Below are 21,008 nucleotides of genomic sequence, written 5' to 3'. Positions count from 1 at the left end.
GTTAAGAACAACATTCTCAGGCAGCAAACGGCCCTTTTTCTGAAAAGGGCCAGATAGTAAATATTTTAGGTTTTGTGGGCCATGCAGTATCTATCACAAATACTCACCCCTACCATTATGGCAGGCAAGTAACCATATGTAAACAAATATGCATGGTTGTGTTTCAGTAAAACTTTATTTATAGAAACAGGCTGTGGGCAGGATCTAGCCCATAGGCTGTAGCTTACTCTTCCTTGTTCTAGAGTTTAGTATGCATGATCTTGGTGGTATTCAGTCATACAAAGCATTTTTTTCAAGTTTAGGTTTAGGCCTCTCAGTGTTCTAGAAGCTTGTTCAATTGCCTCCTGCCATCTTTGTTTGCATTCATTAAGCAGCTCATGGTGAAGTAGCAGATCCTATGTCAAAAAGCTGGAACACCATCCCAGTCTTGTGGGTTTATGACCTAAGAAAGCAAACATCAGTTATATGCACAGATAATTACCTAGCATCTAAAGATACCAGTTGTGGAGTCAGCCTGGATTGGAATCCAAGCCCTTCTTTGTACTACGGGGCGACCAAGAACAAGTTATGTAGTCTGTCTGGGTCTCAGCCTTCTCCTCTGTGTAACTGTGTTAAAAAACAATATTAATAATAGCACCCACCACAGGGCAATCTTCCCAGCATCAAGCGAGACCATGCTTGTGGAGTGCTCAGCATAGCGCCTGCCATCCCGGAAGCCATCGAAGAATATTAGCTGCTATTTTGCTTACTTAAACAATGTTGAGATGAGGGGTCGCCAATTTGCTTGAATTGTCATTGCCTCAGATAATTTGGACTTGGCATTCATTGAGGAAGTAAATTTGGAATATGGTATCCAATCAGATGTTTGCAATTTCACTTGCCTTGCTCATCTTTCAGCGAATATGAATTTTTTTTAAAAAAAATCAAGCAGCTGGATTTTGTAACTTCACAAGTAAAGAACGCAGCTGGCAATATGGGATAAATAAATTTTGTGCAAGAAACACATCTTTATTAATAAAGATCTGCATGAAATATAAGCTGGGTGTTTCAGTCATTGTAAAACCATACTCCAATGAGTGCAGCACGGAGCTGACCCATTCGAAAATATATTGTTGAATCTGTTACAACATGTAACTCAATCAAAATCAACGGGTTGTGCAAAAGTCTTCAACTGTGAACCATTAACTAGCAGAGTGGGCAAATTAACTGTATGAAAGATAGTTTGAGTGTTTTAAAGAATATAACAAGTATACTTGTAAATCTTATTTTATCTGGGACAATTAAATTGCTCTTTTCGATCTCCCATTTTTCTTCTGGGTTTGATACCGGTGGTGGTGGTTTGGGTTCCGGGGAAAGATAAAGACGCCCTGCCCCTCTTCCCCCACTGCCAGGGGCTGCTAGAAGCTGCAGTTAGGAGGTCTGCACCCACCCACCTTGTATAAGCGATTTTCTGGTGTGTGCTTCGGGGGGATCCGCTGTGGTTGTTGCCTGCCTGTTCTTATCGAAACTCACCTTGTGTTGACAGGGGACGCCCCCTTCCAGTGCTGGCTCTGTAGCGCCAAGTTCAAAATCAGCTCGGACTTGAAAAGGCACATGCGGGTGCACTCGGGGGAGAAGCCTTTCAAGTGCGAGTTCTGCAATGTCCGCTGCACCATGAAGGGGAACCTCAAGTCGCACATCCGTATCAAGCACAGCGGGAATAACTTCAAGTGTCCTCATTGCGACTTCCTGGGTGACAGCAAAGCCACCCTCCGGAAGCACAGCCGCGTGCACCAGTCGGAGCATCCTGAGAAGTGCTCGGAATGCAGCTACTCCTGCTCCAGCAAGGCCGCCCTGCGCATCCACGAGCGTATCCACTGCACCGACCGCCCTTTCAAGTGCAACTACTGCAGCTTCGACACCAAACAGCCCAGCAACCTGAGCAAGCACATGAAGAAGTTCCATGGGGACATGGTTAAGACTGAGGCTCTAGAGAGGAAGGACACCGGCAGGCAGAGCAGCCGGCAGGTGGCCAAGCTGGATGCCAAGAAGAGTTTCCACTGCGATATATGCGATGCCTCCTTCATGCGGGAGGACTCGCTCCGCAGCCACAAGAGACAGCACAGTGAGTACAGTGAGAGTAAGAACTCGGACGTGACCGTTCTCCAGTTTCAGATCGACCCCAGCAAGCAGCCCGCCACGCCCCTCACTGTGGGACACCTCCAGGTGCCCCTCCAGCCCAGCCAAGTGCCCCAGTTCAGCGAGGGAAGAGTCAAAATCATCGTTGGGCATCAGGTGCCCCAGGCGAACACCATCGTCCAGGCTGCCGCCGCTGCAGTGAACATCGTCCCGCCTGCCTTGGTGGCCCAGAACCCAGAGGAACTCCCAGGGAACAGCCGGCTGCAGATCCTGCGCCAGGTCAGTCTGATCGCCCCCCCTCAGTCCTCGCGGTGTCCGAGCGAGGCGGGCGCAATGACCCAGCCGGCTGTCCTGCTGACCACCCACGAGCAGACGGACGGAGCCACTCTGCACCAGACTCTCATCCCCACGGCCTCAGGTGGCCCCCAGGAAGGCTCTGGCAATCAAACTTTCATTACCAGTTCGGGTATTACTTGCACTGACTTTGAAGGCCTAAACGCCTTGATTCAGGAGGGGACAGCAGAAGTGACAGTGGTGAGCGATGGAGGCCAGAACATCGCAGTGGCCACCACAGCGCCACCGGTCTTCTCCTCCTCTTCCCAGCAAGAACTACCCAAGCAGACCTACTCCATCATTCAAGGGGCAGCCCATCCAGCTTTGCTCTGTCCCGCCGACTCCATTCCAGATTAGTGCTTAAAAAAACAAAAGGAGTGGGGGAAAGGAATTGAGAAAAAGAAATCTTAAGTAGAATTCTCTAAAAGGTTTGCTCTTAATGTTTTCTTTGTTTTGTTTTGTTTTTGAGACGGAGTCTCGCTCTGTTTCCCAGGCTGGAGTGCAGTGGCGCTATCTTGGCTCACTGCAACGTCCGCCTCCCAGGTTCAAGCGATTCTCATGCCTCAGCCCTCCGAGTAGCTGGGACCACAGGTGTACGACATCATGACTGGCTAATTTTTGTATATTTAGTAGAGACGGGGTTTCATCATGTTGAACTCCTGACCTCAAGTGATCTGCCCACCTCAGCCTCCCAAAGTGCTGGGATTACAGGTGTGAGCCACCATGCCTGGCCGTGGTTTGCTCTTAATGTTTTTAAGGATGGTTGTGAATCCCCCTGGCCCCATAATAAATTGTAATTTTATACTGCTTACTATAATTTTTTTAACACTGTAACAACTTTGAGACCACCTCTGAATCGTCGCATTATAACTGTTGTAGAATCTTAAATGTTACCAAGATGATTCCAATGAGGGGTTGGAATTAAATGCATTAAGTAGTGAATTCATGTGTTTGTTTCCAACTTGATTTTCCAACTCTAATAAAGGTTTCTGTCCATCTTATTACATTTGTGTAGTAAATGGTACTTCCCAGCCTCTCTTTTGCCCCATTCTGGAATACTCCCCAGAGTTTGGGGGTGTTCATGTTTTATACATGTAAGTCTGTTGGCATGAAGGACCATTTTCTACATAATATGACATGGATACTTGACCCAAAAAAAAATGTTTAGTGCTAATGAGCAGAAAATGAATGGTTCCATAATAAATTGATATCTGATTAAAATATACTGAATGTTAATGATTCTTTAGAGCCAAGGTGGGATTTGGGAATGATGGGGCGTGAGTCATTAATCAAAAACAAACTGAAGCAGCAAAGGTTTTTAGTCCTTTCATAAACGTCACACAATCATCTTACCTCCTCCACAGTCACATTAAATAGATGTGGTACCTAAAGTGATAAAGTGATCCATCCCACTGTTGTTTTCATTTTGAAACTTCAGACTGACAATCCTGGCATTTCTGTTTAGACACAAAAATGATCAAAGTTCCTACTAACAAGACAGAATTTTCTAGAATACCATTTTTGAGATGTTAATATCTGTGCAGAATCCAGATGAGTGGACTGAGAGAGTACCTAGATTTTTTCCAAAGCATAGGTTGTATTGAGAAGAGGAAAATTCAGATTGTGTTGTTTTACATTGAAATGCTGTTTGATCAGTAGGTGGTGCCAGAGAGCAAGCTAGAATCATCCATATTTGTACCTTAAGCCATTCTGTAAGGTTGTAATAGCACTCATTTCTGCTGTCAGCAAGGATTGGTGAGGAGGGGAGGTTACTCTTGGGACAGAAGCATATTTAGAATATTATGAGAATACTTAGATACATTTCTACCACTTTTATTCTTCTTTCTTTGATCTGTAATAGTTGGACACAATTTTGATGACTTGCTATATTTGCCATAATTTCTTTATTTTCCTATCATCAATGATAATAGTGAGTTATTAACTATGTTTTTGGTAAGAAACAGAAAAGGCTTGCAGTGTACAATGTTAGTGATTTAAATAATTTTGTCACTTTAAACTTATTGCTTACAGCCCTTTAGAAAAACTGTTCTGCTTTTGAATTTCAGCTGGGAAACTTCCATTGTCATGGTCCTATTTCCTATGTCTTTCTCTTTTCCCACTTTTTTCAACCATAAAGGATTTTTTCCTGATTATAATGTGTATTCAAGATAGAAAATATGAAAAACAGAATATTACTAGGAAAAAAATAGAAGTTACTAATAATCTTACTGTCCAGATATAAACTATACAGATTGTAACCATTTTGATGGACTTCCTATCAGTCTTTTTTTTTTTTTTGAGGTGGAGTCTCACTCTGTTGCCCAGGCTGGAGTGCAGTGGCGCAATCTCAGCTCACTACAAGCTCCGCCTCCCGGGTTCACACCATTCTCCTGCCTCAGCCTCCTGAGTAGCTGGGACTCTAGGCACCCGCAACCAAGTCCGGCTAATTTTTTGTATTTTTAGTAGAGACAGGGTTTCACCGTAGCCAGGATGGTCTCGATCTCCTGACCTTGTGATCCACCCACCTCGGTCTCCCAAAGTGCTGGGATTACAGGTGTGAGCCACCGTACCTGGCCCCTATCAATCTTTTTTTATGCTTACGTATATATGTTTTCTACTCCAGTTATGAAGTTGTAGTTTAATTAAGCATAATATTTTTTATATTCTATATTTCCTTTTGTATCCTTAGATCTCTACCTACCAGCTGCCTTCCATATATAATACATACACATACATACATACATACACATGCATGCATAGAGATGTACACACATGCATATTTGATTTGTTGGTTGTTTTGTCTTTTTACAAACAAAACAGTAAAACTTACTCTTTGGAATAAATTATACACAGAATTGTACAAACACCAAGCCAACAACTTCCAGCCCCTCCGTATTCTCACCCCACCCAAGGTAAGTAATGTTAGGTGCTCTGTGTTCTTACCAATATACGTAGACTCAAAAGATAACATAGAAAAGGTTTTTCCTAGTTCTATAGTAATTGTATCATACTCTGTACATTTCTCTGCAACTTGCTTTGATTATTCCATTTATTGACAGTCCTGTGGGTCAACAAAACTAGACCTAGTTTTTTTAAATAAGTGTTAGAGACATGCCAGGCTTTAGTCCGTCATCTTGCTATTATGATTCTTCAGGTTGTTTGGGGAATATTTTTGCCATTACGACTGCCCCAGTAAACTCTCATATTCAGCTTTTTTTTTTTTTTTTTCTGTAAGTAGATTCAAAAGTGTAAGTTTCACGGAGTTTCCATAGTTTGTACTTGCATAAATACGGATTAATTTTCACAATGATAGTCTCATCCCTGATGTGAGCTCAACTACCTTTGGAAGTTTTATCACTCTGCTGCGTGAAAATGGTTATCTGGCCTTTGTGCACTCCCCTAGCTGGTGCTGTGGTCTGCGTTTTCTGAGACGTCTCTGCATAGGGCTGGTTGACCATGTGTGCTTCTCTCTTCTATGAACTTAGAACTCTTACTCCCTCCTTTTGGTTGTTGGGAAGTTGGGGACATTAACCCGACATCAGTCACACATTGCTGAGTTTCTTCCCCTCCTGTCATTGTCTTTTGACTTTACCTGTGGGGCTGTCACCATATAAAAATGACTGTCTTTTTCTGTAGTTAGATTCTTCTGTCGCTTCATTTGTGGCACGTGTGTTTTCTAAGAACGTCCATCCTTCCCCTGAGATTAAACTGGTTTTCCCTTTAGTGTTTTTACTGCTTGCTTATTTGTTTTTCAATGGCTCCTTGCTGCAGCCAGAATTCTTTTTTTTTTTTTTTTCTTGTTTTGAGACAGAGTCTGGCTGTCGCCCAGCCTGGAGTGCCGTGGCGCGATCTCAGCTCACTACCTGCTCTGCCTCCCAGGCTCAGGTGATTCTCCTGCCTCAGCCTCCCACGTAGCTGGGATCACAGGCGTGTGCCACCACACCTGGCTAATTTTTGTATTTTTAGTAGAGACGAGATTTCGCCATGTTGGCCATGCTCGTCTTAAACTCCTGGCCTCCAGTGATCTGCCCACCTCGGCCTTTCAGAGTGCTGGGATTACAGCTCATGCCAAGAACTCATATTTATATGTTATGATGAACAGGTTTGACTGTCCACTTATGCCAGGACCATTTGTTAAATATTATTTTCCTGAAAACTGAAATCCTAATTTAAGCCATCGTGTAGATAAAGTTCACAAATATACTTCCAGAACTTCTTTATTCTGGAAGATTATAGATCTGAGATTCCCAAAGAAGATCTGGCTGGCCAACATGACATATTTGATTATACTAGCATTAAGGTAAGCTTAATCTTTTAGACTTACAAAGCTTCCCCCAGCTATTATTTTCCAAAATGTTCTTAGCAATTCTTAGATATTTATTCTTCCAAAGGAACTGTTATTTTATCCAGTACCTAAACCACCCCCACCAAAAAAGAAAACCTTTTGGAGATTTTTATTGAAATTGCATCAGTATTTTATATGAACTTATCAAAAGCACAACTATGAAAATATTAAGTCTTCCACCCAATTTTGGCTCACTGCAGCCTCCACCTCCTGGGTTCAAGAGATTCTCCCACTTCAGCCTCTTGAGTAGCTGGGATTACAGGCGCCTGCCACCATGCCTGGCTAATTTTTTTGTGTGTATCTTTAGTAGAGATGGGGTTTCGCCATGTGGACCAGGCTGGTCTTGCACTCCTGGCCTCAAGTGATCCGCCTGCCTCGGCCTCCCAAAGTGCTGGGATTACAGGTGTGAGCCACGGTGCCCGGTCCTGTGTTTTCTTATTATTCCATAATTTTATCATAATTGTGAATAGGAATTTTTGCATTTGTTGCAAACATCAAGAAAAGCCAAAATAGGGTATATTTGTCTATATTAAAGAAAAATTCTCAGTAATGAATGGTATTTATTAGAAATTCTTGGTCTCTGATAAATATGATTTATAATTATCTGATATAGTCTTTTATTTTCAGATTGTTTCATCTCTTCCTTTAGAATATTTTTACTACTTATTTTGTTTTCTTGTCCTGTTGCTTTAGCCAGAACCTCCAAACAATGCTGATACAGCTGGCATCCTTGCTGTGTCCCTAATTCTAACTTCAGAATTTTCCAATGTAATATACACCACTCCTTTGGATAATGGTTTTTATGGTACTTAGGTCATTTTCTTCCACTCCAGTTTTCACTTAGAGTGAAATTGCTTGAACCCAGGAGGTGGAGGCTGCAGTGAGCCAAAATTGCGCCACTGCACTCCAGCCTGGGTGACAGAGTGCAACTCCATCTCAAAAAAAAAGAAACACAGACCTTATATAATGAAAATAGACTACATAATTTGACTGAATAATGTTTACAATGGAGTTAAATAAGGGTTTTTGAGTGGAAGACTTAATATTTTCATAGTCATTCTTTTGATAAGTTCATATAAAATACTGATGCAGTTTTACTTATCAGGGTAGCTTGCTGAATTTTATCAAATATCTTCTTAAAATTGTTAGCCGTAAGTATTTGGGTTTTGCACTTAAATATGTTGACACAGTGAATTTGTGTAGCATATAGCCTGGTATGTTAAGTCACCTTGCATTCCTGGAAGAAATCCTCTTGGTCATGTTGAATTATTCTTCCAAAACACTGCTGGATTTCGTTTTCTAATATCTTATCTGGAAGTTTTGCAACTCTAGTTCATGTGCTACATAAGAGCATTTTGGTCAACAACAGACTGCATGTTACAATGGTGATCTCATAAGAATAATGGAGCTGAAACATTTCTTTTTTTTATTATACTTTAAGTTTTAGGGTACATGTGCACAATGTGCAGGTTAGTTACATATGTATACACGTGCCATGCTGGTGTGCTGCGCCCATTAACTCGTCATTTAGCATTAGGTATATCTCCTAATGCTATCCCTCTCCCCTCCCCCCACCCCACAACAGTCCCCAGAGTGTGATGTTCCCCTTCCTGTGTCCATGTGTTCTCATTGTTCAATTCCCACCTATGAGTGAGAACATGCGGTGTTTGGTTTTTTGTCCTTGCGATAGTTTACTGAGAATGATGATTTCCAATTTCATCCATGTCCCTACAAAGGACATGAACTCATCATTTTTTATGGCTGCATAGTATTCCATGGTGTATATGTGCCACATTTTCTTAATCCAGTCTATCATTGTTGGACATTTGGATTGGTTCCAAGTCTTTGCTATTATGAATAGTGCCGCAATAAACATATGTGTGCATGTGTCTTTATAGCAGCATGATTTATAGCCCTTTGGGTATATACCCAGCATGGGATGGCTGGGTCAAATGGTATTTCTAGTTCTAGATCTCTGAGGAGCTGAAACATTTCTATTGCCTACTGATATCTTGATGATCCTGACCCTGCATAGGCTGAGGCTAATGCGCATGTTTGTGTCTTAGTTTGTTTTTTTTTTAAGTTGAAAAAGTAAAAGAAAAAAATAAAATAGAAAAGGCTTATAGAATAAGGATATAAAGAAAGAATATTTTTGTACAGTTGTACAATGCTTGTGTTTTAAGCTGAGTGTTATTACAAAAGATTTTGATAAGTCAAAATATAATTAATACATGTATAAAGTAAAACAGTTACAATAAGCTATACTTAATTTACTACTGAAGAAAGACTTTTTTAATAAATTTAGAGTAGTCTAAGTGTACAGTGTTTATAAGGTCTGCAGTAGTACACAGTCATGACCTAGGCCTTCACATTCACTCACCACTCACCCACTGACTCACCCAGAGCAACTTCCAGTCCTGCAAGCTCCATTCATGATAAGTGTCCTAAACAGGTGCACCATATTTTTATCTTTTATACCATACTTTTACTGTACTTTTGTTTTGTTTTGTTTTGTTTTTGAGAAAGGGTATTACTCTATCACCCAGGTTGGAGTGCAGTGGCACAATCACAGCTCACTGCAGCCTCTACCTCCCCAGGCTCAGGTGATCCTCCCACCTCAGCCTCCCAAGTAGCTGGGACCACAGGCATGTACCACCACATATTTTTTGTAGAGATGGGGTGTTGCCATTCTGCCCAGGCTGGTCTCAAACTCCTGGGCTCAAGTGATCCACCCACCTAAGCCTCCCAAAGTGCTGGGATTACAGGCATGAGCCACCACGCCTGGGCTACAGTACCTTTTCTATGTTTAGTTATATTTAGATAGACAAGTACTTACCATTGTGTTACCATTACCTATAGTACTCAGCACATTCACGTGCTGTATGGATTTCTAGCCTAAGAGCCATAGGCTACGCCCTATTTCTCAGAATGGATCCCTGTTGATAAGTGGCAACGACTGTATACACATACATGCAGCTGGTCTCTAGTTTTCTTTTTTAGTGCTATCTCTGATTTTTGCTTGTTTCTTATGCAACTCTAAAAATAAATTGGAGCTTGTGCAACTCTAAAAATAAGCTGGAGCTCTTTTCTTCTTTTTCGGTGACCTGAAATAGTTTGACTATCTCAGAAATTATCTGTTCTGTTATCTTGGCTGATACTCTTTTTCACTGTAACATTCTTAACAAATTTCCCAATTATTTTCTGTAATTACTGATCTGTTCAGGTTGTATACCTTATCTGGATCAATTTTAGTAGTTTATATTTAGCAAAAGAAAAAACATCATTTACTCTGCTCTAAATTTTCAATTACGTGGCCCTATGATTCCATTTAACTTTCTTTTTAAAATATTTTAATATCTTTAGCATTTGGGGGTCCACCACCTTTCTTGTTACTACTGGTTTTGGGGTTTCTTTTTTTATTGTTGTATTTTTAGTCTTCTACTTAGTATGCTAAGGGTTTACTTATTTAGTCATTTGTATTAAAGTAAAAGTAGCACTTTTGCTTTTATTTATTTCTCTACCCCTCCTCCATTTCATTCATTTCAGCTTTCAGCATTTTTTTTTTTTTTTTTTTTTTTTGAGACGGAGTCTCGCTCTGTCACCAGGCTGGAGTGCAGTGGCGCGATCTCGGCTCACTGCAACCTCCACCTCTCGAATTCAAGCGATTCTCCTGCCTCAGCCTCCCGAATAGCTGGGACTACAGGTGCACGCTACCACACCCAGCTAATTTTTTTGTATATTTTGTAGAGACGGGGTTTCACCATGTTGACCAGGATAGTCTTGATCTCTTGACCTCGTGATCTGCCCGCCTTGGCCTCCCAAAGTGCTGGGATTGTAGGTGTGAGCCACCATGCCTGGCCTCAGCTTTTATTTTAATACTTCTTTCCCCTGCTTTTCTTTCATTTTATTTTGTTATTCTAATTTCATGTATTAAGTTCACTTAGTCTTTAGTAATAAAAACATTTAAAGCTATATATTTTCCATTATGCCTTCACCTGTGTTAAAAGATAATTTTTTAAGTTAAAATCATGACTGTCCTACAAATATAAGATTAACACGTCAAGTATTTAATTCATTAATTAAAGGGGGAATCAGCAAACTATCACAACAGGCTCAAAGGAGGATTAACAAATGCATGATTACATAGGCAATCAGGAATGCTGAAATAAATTCACCAACAGATCCAAAACTGGTCAGTATCTCCAGAGTAGTAATTAGCTGTGTTCCATCAAACGAAATCTGTTTGCAGTCCTGTGGATGAGTTATTTGCAACACTATCTATTTCTGTAACTTGCAAAGTTATAAAATGGCCAGGCATGGTGGTTCACGCCTATAATCTCAGCACTTTGGGAGGCCAAGGCAAAAGGATCACATGAGCCCAAGGATTCCAGACCAGCTTGAGCAGCATAGGGGAGACCCTGTCTCTACAAATACTATTAATAATAAAAAAAAAAATTGGCCGGGTGTGGTGGTGTGCACCTGTAGCCCCAACTACTCTAGAGGCTGAGATTAGAGGATCACTTGAGCTGGGGAGGTTGAGGCTGCAGTGAGCTGTGATCATGTGCCACCGCACTCTAGCCTTGGTGACAGAGTGAGACTGTGTCTAAAAAAAAAAAAACTAAGTCGTAAAATAGCTCAAAAACAACAATAAAGAGCACTAACCTCTATAGAAGCAGATAATCCAGAACTGGGAACTGACAGGATATCCTGTAATCTTTATTGCCTACAAAATCATTCAAAACTTGTCCTTATATCCATCCCTATAAACTTTTATATGACATGCCCTTCTTTCCATAAACTTCTAGACTTTGTTATTTCAGTTTTAGGGATGGTTAGTTGGTTGCTTTAAAGGGGATAGGGCCAGAATCCAGGGGTTATATAAAGGTATGTTTCCTATTTTTCAAGTACAGGCATGTTTCGGAGATATTGTGAGTTTGGTTCCAGACCACCACAATAAAGCAAATATCACAATAAAGTGAGTCACACGTATTTTTAAATTTCCCAGTGCATATAAAAGTTATGTTTATACCATACTATAGTCTATTCAGGGCACAATAGCATTATGACTTTAAAAAGTACATACTTTAATTTAAAAATACTATGTTGCTAAAAAAATGCTGACAATCATATGAGCCTTCAGCAAGTTGCAGTCATTTTGCTGATAAAGGGTCTTCCTCAATGCTGATGGCTGCTGACTTATCAGGGTTGTGGTTGCTGAAGGTTGGGGTAGCTGTAGTAATTTCTTAAAATAAGACAACAACAAAGTTTGCCACATCAATGGACTCTTCCTCTTTTTTGCTTTTTTTTTTTTTTTTTTTGAGATGGAGTCTCACTCTGTCGCCCAGGGTGGAGTGCAATGGCATGATCTCAACTCACTACAACCTCCGCCTCCTGGGTTCAAGCAATTCTCCTGCCTCAGCCTCCTGAGTAGCTGGGATTACAGGTGCACCCCACCACACCCAGCTAATTTTTATATTTTTAGTAGAGACAGGGTTTCACCATGTTGGTCAGGCTGGTCTCAAACTCCTAACCTTGTGATCAGCCCGCCTCAGCCTCCCAAAGTGCTGGGATTACAGGCATGCGCCACCGCACTTGGCCTCTTTTTTGCCTTTTTTGGTATAAATTTAAGGGATACAAGTGCATGCAGTTTTGTTACATGGATATATTGCATAGAGGTGAAATCTGGGCTTTTAATGTAACTATCACCCAAATAATGTACATTTTACCCATTAAGCAATTTGTGTGTGTGTGTGTGTGTGTGTGTGTGTGTGTGTGTGTGTCTGTGTGTGTGTGATGAAGTCTCACTCTGTCGCCTAGGCTGGAGTGCAGTGGCGTAATCTCGGCTCACTGCAACCTCCGCCGCCCGAGTTCAAGCAATTCTCCTGCTTCAGTCTTCCATGTGGCTGGGATCACAGGCACATGCCACCATGCCCAGCTAATTTTTGTATTTTTAGTAGAGATGGGGGTTTCACCATCTTGGCCAGACTGGTCTCGAACTCCTGACCTCAGGTCATCCGCAAACCTTGGCCTCCCAAAGTGCTGGGATCACAGGTGTGAGCCACCGCGCCAGGCCCATTAAGCAATTTCTTATCCCTTACCTCCCTCCCATCCTTCTGAGTCTGTAATGTCTACTATTCCACACTGTATGCCCATGTATAAATATTATTGAGCTCCCACTTATAAGTGAGACCATGCGGTGTTTGACTCTCTGTTTCTGAGTTATTTCATGTAAAATAATAGCCTCCAGTTTCATCTGTGTTGCTGCAAAAGACATAATTAAATCTTTTCATGAAAGATTTCTCTGCAGCATCCAATGCTGTTGGACATCATTCTACTCACAGTAAGACTGCTTTCAAAATTGGATTCAATCCTCTCAAAACCTGACACTGCCTAATCAACTAAGGCTATGTAATATTTTAAGTTGTTTGTTGTCATTTTCACAATGTTCAGAACATCTTTACCAGGAGTCGATTCTATCTCAAGGAACCACTTCCTTTGCTCAGCCATAAGAAGAAATTCCTCATCCATTCAAGTTCTCTCATAAGATTGCAGCAATTCAGCCACATCTTCAGGTTCCACTTCTAATTCTAGTTCTCTTGCAATCTCTACCATCTCTGCAGTTACTTCCTCCACTGAGGTCTTGAACCCCCTCAAGTTCATTTATGATGGTTGGAATCAACTTCTTACAAACTCCTGCTAAGGTTGATATTTTGACCTCCCCCCAAGAATCATGAATGATCTTCATGGCATTTAGAATGGTGAATCCCTCACCTTGATGTTCTGGTGAAAAAAATAAATGAATATTGAATCCTTTTTAGAAGGTTTCCAATTTACTTTGCCCAGATGCATCAGAGGAATCACTATCACCGCTATAGTCTTACAAAATGTATTACTTCAATAATAAGACTTCAAGGTCAAAATTACCCCCTCATCCATGGGCTACAGAATGGAGGTTATGTTAGCAGGCATGAAAACAACATTCGTCTCCTTGTACATCTCCATCAGAGCTCTTGGGTGACCAGATGTATTGTCAATAAGCAGTAATATTGTGGAAGGAACCTATTTTCTGAGCAGTAGGTCTCAACATGGGGCTTTAAATATTCAGTAAACCATGCCGTAAACAGAGGTGCTGTCATCCAGCCTTCATGGTTCCATTTTTAGAGCCTAGACAGTAGATTTAGCCTCATTCTTAAGGGCCTTAGGATTTTTGGAATGGTAAATGAGCACTGGCTTCAACTTCAAGTTACCAGCTACATTAGCCCCTAACAAGAAAGTCAGCCTATCCTTTGAAGCTTTGAAGCCAGACATTGACTTCTCCCCTCTAGCTATGAACATCCTAGATGGTATCTTCTTCCAGTAGGAGACGGTTTTATCTACTATTTTTATAAACAAAAATCTATTGTTTAGTGTAGCCTCCTTCATCAACGATCTTAGCTGGATCTTCTGGGTAACTTGCTGCAGCTTCTACATCAGCACCTGCTGCTTCACTTTGCACTTTTACGATGTGGAGATGGCTTCTTTCTTTAAACCTCCTGAACCAACTTCTGCTAGCTTCCAATTTTCTTCTGCAGCTTCCTCACTTCTCTCAGTCTCCATAGAATTGAAGGAGTTAGGTCCTTGCTCTGGATTAGGCTTTGGCTGAAGACAATGTCGTGGCTGGTTTGATCTATTCAGACCACTCAAACGTTCTTCACATCAGCAATAAGGCTGTTTCACTTTCTTATCATTCATTTGTTCACTGGAATAGCACTTTTAATTTCTTTGCAGAACTTTTCCTTTGCATTCACAACTTGGCTAACTGGTGCAAAAGGCCCAGCTTTCAGCCTGTCTTGGCTTTCAACATGCCTTCCTCACCGAGCTTAACCTTGTCTAGCTTTTGATTTAAAGTGAGAGACGTGGGACTCTTTCTTTCACTTGAACACTTAGAGGCCATTGTAGGGTTATTAATTGGCCTAATTTCAACATTGTTGGGTCTCAGGGAATAGGGAAGCTCAAATAGAGGGAGAGAGATGGGGAACGGCTGTTCTGTGGAGCAGTCAGAACACACACTACATTTATCAGTTAATTTCGTCGTCTTATATGGACATGGTTCATGGCAGCCTGGAGCAATTACAACAGTAATACCAAAGATCACCAATCACAGATCACCATAACAGATATAATAATAATAAAAAGCTTGAAATGTGAGAATTACCAGAATATGACACAGAGACCCCAAGTGAGCCCCCACTGTTGGAAAAATGGTGCCCGTAAGACTTGTTTGATGCGGGGTTGCCACAAACTTCAATTTGTAAAAAAAAAAAAAAAAACAACTCAGCGCCCGCAAAGCACAATAAAACTAAGGACAATCAAACAAGGTGTGCCTGTATTACAATTTGTGAAACTATATTTTGGCTTTTGGTTTCTGATGTTACTGGGTTTTGGTCTGAAAATGTGACCCGTAAAATAAATGTTTTTCTCTCTCATTATGCCATTTTCTTTATTTTGTTTTGTTTTTTCAACTTTTATTTTAGGTTTAGGGGGTACATGTGCAGGTTTTTTACCTGGGTAAATTGCATGTCACTGGGGTTTGGGGTATGAATGGTTTGGTCACCCAGGTAGTGACCATAGTACCCAATAAGTTTTTCAACCCTCACCCTCCTCCCACCCTCCATCTTCAAGTAGAACCCAGTGTCTGTTGTTCCCATCTTTGTGTCCACGGGTACTCAATGTTTAGCTCCCACTTATAAGTGAGAACATGTGGTGTTCGGTTTTCTGTTCCTGCATTAATTCACTTAGGATAATGACCTCCAGCTGCATCTATGTTGCTGCAAAGTCCATGATTTCATGTTGTTATGGTTGTGAAGTATTCCATGCTGTACGTACCACATTTCCTTTATCCAGCCCACCATTGATGGGCATCTAGGTTGATTCCATGTTGCTATCGTGAATAGTGCTGCGATGAACGTATGCGTGCATGTGTCTTTGGTAGAATGATTTGTATTAATGGGATTGCTGAGTCGAGTGGTAGTTCTAAGTTCTTTGAGAAATCTCCAAACTGCTTTCCACAGTGGCCGAACTAAGTTACATTCCCACAAGCAGTGTACAAATGTTTCCTTTTCTCCTCGACCTTGTGAATATCTTTAGTTTTCTGACTTTTTCATGGTAGCCACTCTGACTAGTGTGAGATGCTATCTCACTGTGGTTTTGATTTATATTTCTCTCATGATTAGGATGTTGAGCATTTTTTCATATGCTTGTTGGCTGCTTGTATGTCTTCTTATAATTTAATAGTTTTCTGTATGGCCATTTACATGACCAATTTTTGTACGTATTTGGTGACTATTAGAGAAGAATACACAGTCTCTGTAGAGTTTAAATTTTTATGAATTATTCAATTCTTCTAATCCTTTCTTAGTTTGTATCTATTTGGTAAACTCTGAAAGAAATATTTAAAAAATCTCTCTCGAGGATTGCATTTTTAAAACTAAGCTTTCCTTATATTACCAGGGTGCTTTTTTTTTTATTATATTTTGCCATATGTTGTTTGATGCATATAAAGTTTGTAGCTGTTCTACGTTCTTTGTCATTTTTTCCTTTTTTTCTCATGTACCTGTTCCTTCTATGTAATAATAGCTTTTGGCCTTAAATCATGCTTTATCTCATAATAACATTCTAAGTCTTATTTTGTATTTTTTTTTCATTTGCCTGGTTCATATCTGCCCATTCTGTTATTCAGTATCTTTCTTTATCAGCCTCTCCTTGTCTTTGATAGGACAATTCAAATCATTTGTATTTATTACAGTAATATATATGTGCTATTATTCACTTCCATCTTATTTAATATTTGCTATTTATTAAAGTTTGTGGTTTTCTCCTTTTTCCTTTTTAACTTTATTTCCTATCTCTAGAAAGTTATATATTCATCTCCATCCTGCTGACAGTTACATTCCAATTTTTTGTGTGTTGTTTTTTTGAGATAGGGTCTCTGTCTCCCAGGCTAAAGTGCAGTGGAGTGATCTTGGCTCACTGCAGCCTTTACCTCCCCAGCCCAAGTGATCCTCCCACCTCAGCCTCCCAAGTAGTTGGGACTCCAGATGTGTGCCTCCATGCCTGGCTTGCTTATTTATTTATTTATTTATTTATTTATTTATTTATTTATTTTTGTAAAGATGGGGTTTTTCCGTGTTTCCCAGGCTGGTCTCGAACTCCTGGGCTCAAGCAATCTGCTCGCTTTTGCCTCCCAGAGTGCTGGGATTAGAGGCATGAGCCAGTGCACCGGGCCTGCTTTCCAATATTTAACAATGATTGTTAAATATATATTTGCCTACTGCTGTGTAAAAAGTAAACATTAACCGTGCCTCAATCTTCCATTAAGAAATTCTTCCCTGATGAGAGGAAGCTTTTGGACTTCATCTTCTACAGCCGCCATCCTCAAATTCTGAGTTTTGCTGAGATGACTTATAAGTTTATTTCTAGGCCTTTGTTAAGTTTTGCCCTATGGTATGTCTCTTACATTCAAATTCCCAATTGACCATCTCCATTTAGATTTAACCAAAAATTACTGCATTCATTGTTCACCATAGTTTCTTACACCCTTCAGCTTCCCTATGTTGCGCTTTTACTCTGATTTCATTTTCATTTGGTTGGAGTACTTCCTGGAGCATATTCCTCAGAAGGGCACATAGGTGGGACTTCTTTTGTCCTGGCAGATGAATTATACCCTTGGACATAAGATCTTTTTTTCTTCAGTAGTCGTTAAACTCTGTTCTGGTGGAGATGAAAAGTTGGATCCCAATCTGATCCACTTCTTAGATGCCCTAGGTCCTGTAGCCCAGCAAAGTTGAGACAAAATGATGGTGTTACCAGGAAAAAAAGCAAGGCAGTGGCTCATTCTAGCCAGTCAGGTGGAGAGAACCCATCTCTGAAACTTCTCAGATAGAGAGCAGGGCTTCAAAATAGGAAATATTATTAATCTTAAAAATTATTATTTATTTCATCATACTTCTCAGCAACAAAATTATGGCTATATAAATTGAAATTCACATCTTTTATTTTCTATGATCACAGGGCTCCAAGCTTTAGACATTTCTTCAATATCAAATTACCATTAGGGCCAGGCACGGTGGCTCACACCTGTAATCCCAGCATTTTGGGAGGCCAAGGTGGGTGGATCACCTGAGGTCAGGAGTTTGAGACCAGCCTGGCCAACATGGCAAAACCCCATCTCTGCTAAAAATACAAAAATTAGCTGGGTGTGGTGGTGGATGCCTGTAGTCCCGGCTATTCAGGAGGCTGAGGCAGGAGAATCACTTGCCCGGGAGGCAGAGGTTGCAGTGAGCCGAGATCACGCCACTATACTCCAGCCTGGGAGACAGAGTGAGACTCCATCTCAAAAAAACAAGATAATTAGGAACTTTTGACCAAAGCAACATATATATATTATATAATTTGAAAAACAGTTATTAAATATAAGCAAGGTACTGGTGTTTTTCTATTTTAATGAGGTAGATAGGCCTGGTTTTTAGTTAGCTTATATATTCTTTATGATTATGAATTTTTAAAAAACCATTTTTCAGCAGTTGCTAGAATGAGATACAGTTTATTTTCAGTTATGTGTCAAATTCTTTTTTATTGATGTAAACTCTGAGTTTTATTCACATAAATAAGAATATAGAAATACAAGTTGTATTGTTATAGCAATATTTCTCAATTATTTTAATTTTTTCTGAATTCTATGCCAGAAAATCACATATTGATCAGTTGTCATTAATTGGGTCAATTTTATTAAAAACAAAGAACTGAAAACAACCTGGGGTTTCTTTCCCAATTATGGAATCACTTGCCTTCTCAACATTGATGCTGTGATATCTCAGATTTTATGGCTCCATGCATTGGTTCAGTATGGTTTATTAATAATGGGTCACTTTCTCTGCGCGTTCTTAGGTGATCAGTTTTAGGAAAAGGTATGCCTAGAAGTTAAGGATCTGAGAATTGATGTCCTTAATCATGCCTGTTTGTTGTTGTTGTTGTTGTTGTTCTTTTTTTTGGTTTTTTCTTTTTTTTTTTTTTTTTTTTTTTTGAGAGAGTCTCCCTCCATCGCCTAGGCTGGAGTGCAGTGGTGTGATTTCGGCTCACTGCAACCTCCACCTCCCTGATTCAAGCAATTCTCCTGCCTCAGTCTCCTGAGTAGCTGGGACTACAGGTACACACCACTATGCCCAGCTAATTTTTGTATTTTTAGTCAAGGCAGGGTTTCACCATGTTGGCCAGGCTGGTCTCGAACTCCTGACCTCAAATGATCCACCCACCTCGGCCTCCCAAAGTGCTGGCATTACAGGCGTGAGCCACCGAACCCAGCCAATCATGCCTGTATATACTGAAAATCTTGGCAGGGCGCAGTGGCTCATGCCTGTAATTCCAGCACTCTGGGAGGCTGAGGCAGGAGGATCACTTAAGCCCAGTAGTTTGAGACCAGCCTGGGCAACATGTCGAAACCCTGCCTCTACAAAAATTACCAAAAAATTAGCTGGGCTTGATGACACATGCCTGTAGTACTGGCTTCTTGGGAGGCTGAGGTGGGAAGATCACTTGAGCCCAGGACGTCAATGCTGCAGTGAGCCGTAAGCCATGATCACACCACTGCACTCCAGACTGAGCAACAGAGCGAGACCCTGTCTCAAAGAAAAGAAAAGCATCTTTGTGTATTTCCATAGTACAAAACTCCCAATTTGCAGACCTTTTGCCATAGAGCAGGAATCAGCAGTGTTTTTTCTGTAAAGCTCCAGATAGTAAATGTTTTCAGCTTTGTGGGCCATATCTTCTCTGTTCCAACTATTCAGCCCCACTGGGGTAGCAGGGAAATAGCCACAGTCAATATTCAGGGCAGTGGGCGTGGCTGTGCTTCGATAAAATTCCATTCATAGGCATTGAGATTTCAGTTTCATAAAATTTTCACCTCACAAAATTTAATTTTCTTTTGATTTTTGTTAACCAGTTAAAAATGTGAAAACCAGACCAGTCACAGTGGCTCACACCTGTAATCCCAGCACTATGGGAGGCCGAAGCAGACAGATCACTTGAGGTCAGGAGTTCGAGACCAGCCTGGGCAACATGGTGAAACCCTGTCTCTAGCAAACACACAAAAAAGTAGCCAGGTGCAGTGGCGTGCACCTTTGGTCCCAGTTACTTGGGAGGCTGAGGTGGGAGGATCGCTTGAGCCCAGGAGGCAGAGGTTGCAGTGAGCCGAGATTGTGCCACTGCCCTCCAACCTGGGTGACAGAGTGAGACCCCATTTCAAAAAAATATAAAAATAACAATAAAAATGTGAAAACCATTCCTAGCTCACAGACCATACAAAAAAAAGTGGTCCGTAAGTTCAAATTAGATTGAATTTGTATTTTATGGCTTCTCTTTATGTTGGAATGGAGAATTCTGTTTAAAAATTAGACCTTCTGTAGGATTTTTTACTGTTGTTATTGTTGTTGTTGTTATCGGCATGTGATTAAACAAACATATGAAACCCCTTCCTGGAACGTTCCAAGTCACTGTGTTTCCTATCGTGGGAATGGCCTATAAACTCTTGAAAAGCCATAAGGCAGTTTGTGAACCTTGATGCCACCCTTCCTGAAAGCATCGCAAAGAAGCAGCTTTAGGCTGAAAAGTTGTCAGTCCCCCAGCAGCTCTGGCTTAAGTCACAATGACACTTGATTAAATAAACAGGGTGCTTGCCACCAAACTGAGATATCTTAATAACCCCCTGCTTATATAAATCAGTGACTCTGCTGTAAAACACCTGCAAATTTGAGTTCATGTTTTCAGTGGCTTACTGTGGAAGGCTTGGCTTCCAGAAACAGAACAGGCAAGCTTCTCTCCTGAGTAGATGAGAAATTTAGCAGAGAGGCAGCCTGGATAAAATCTGACTTTAAATCAGGAGTAGATCTAGCTTTTATGGGGCCTGAAGTGTATTTTTTTTAAAAAATGTAAAATTACAAATACAGGGACTTAAAAAGGGCCTTGGGGAGCGGAGGGATCCTCAATTTCAGCATTCTCACAGTAAATCTGCCTTAGCATTTAGTTCTCAGTGGGGTGAGTGTGTGATTTCCTGCAATAGGGAAAAGTCCTCCTTTTTTTTTTTTTTTTTTTTTTTTGAGACAGGATCTCACTCTGTTGCCCAGGCTGGAATGCAATGGCATGATCATGGCTCACTGCAACCTCCACCTCCCGGGCTCAG

At 40.8% G+C, this 21,008-nt stretch overlaps 1 protein-coding gene across 11 annotated transcripts in view; it reads left to right on the top strand.

Annotated features, from left to right (window-relative positions):
• The window catches only part of ZFP64 (ZFP64 zinc finger protein), a 107,769-nt gene that overhangs the window by 36,826 nt on the left and 49,935 nt on the right, over positions 1-21,008 (top strand). For 7 of the 11 annotated variants that reach the window (XM_017027946.3, NM_199426.2, NM_022088.5 and 4 more), the window contains one exon: positions 1,526-3,676. The exons of the other annotated variants lie outside the window; for them this stretch is intronic. In XM_017027946.3, coding sequence (XP_016883435.1) covers positions 1,526-2,808 — 1,283 coding nt within the window. In that variant the 3' untranslated portion in view covers positions 2,809-3,676. Of the gene's footprint in view, positions 1-1,525; positions 3,677-21,008 lie in introns of those variants that run through there. 11 annotated transcript variants of the gene reach the window in all.

Source organism: Homo sapiens, chromosome 20, assembly GCF_000001405.40.
Source record: "Homo sapiens chromosome 20, GRCh38.p14 Primary Assembly".
NCBI classification, from domain to species: Eukaryota; Metazoa; Chordata; class Mammalia; order Primates; family Hominidae; genus Homo; species Homo sapiens.
This window is presented reverse-complemented; position numbering and strand designations above follow the sequence as displayed.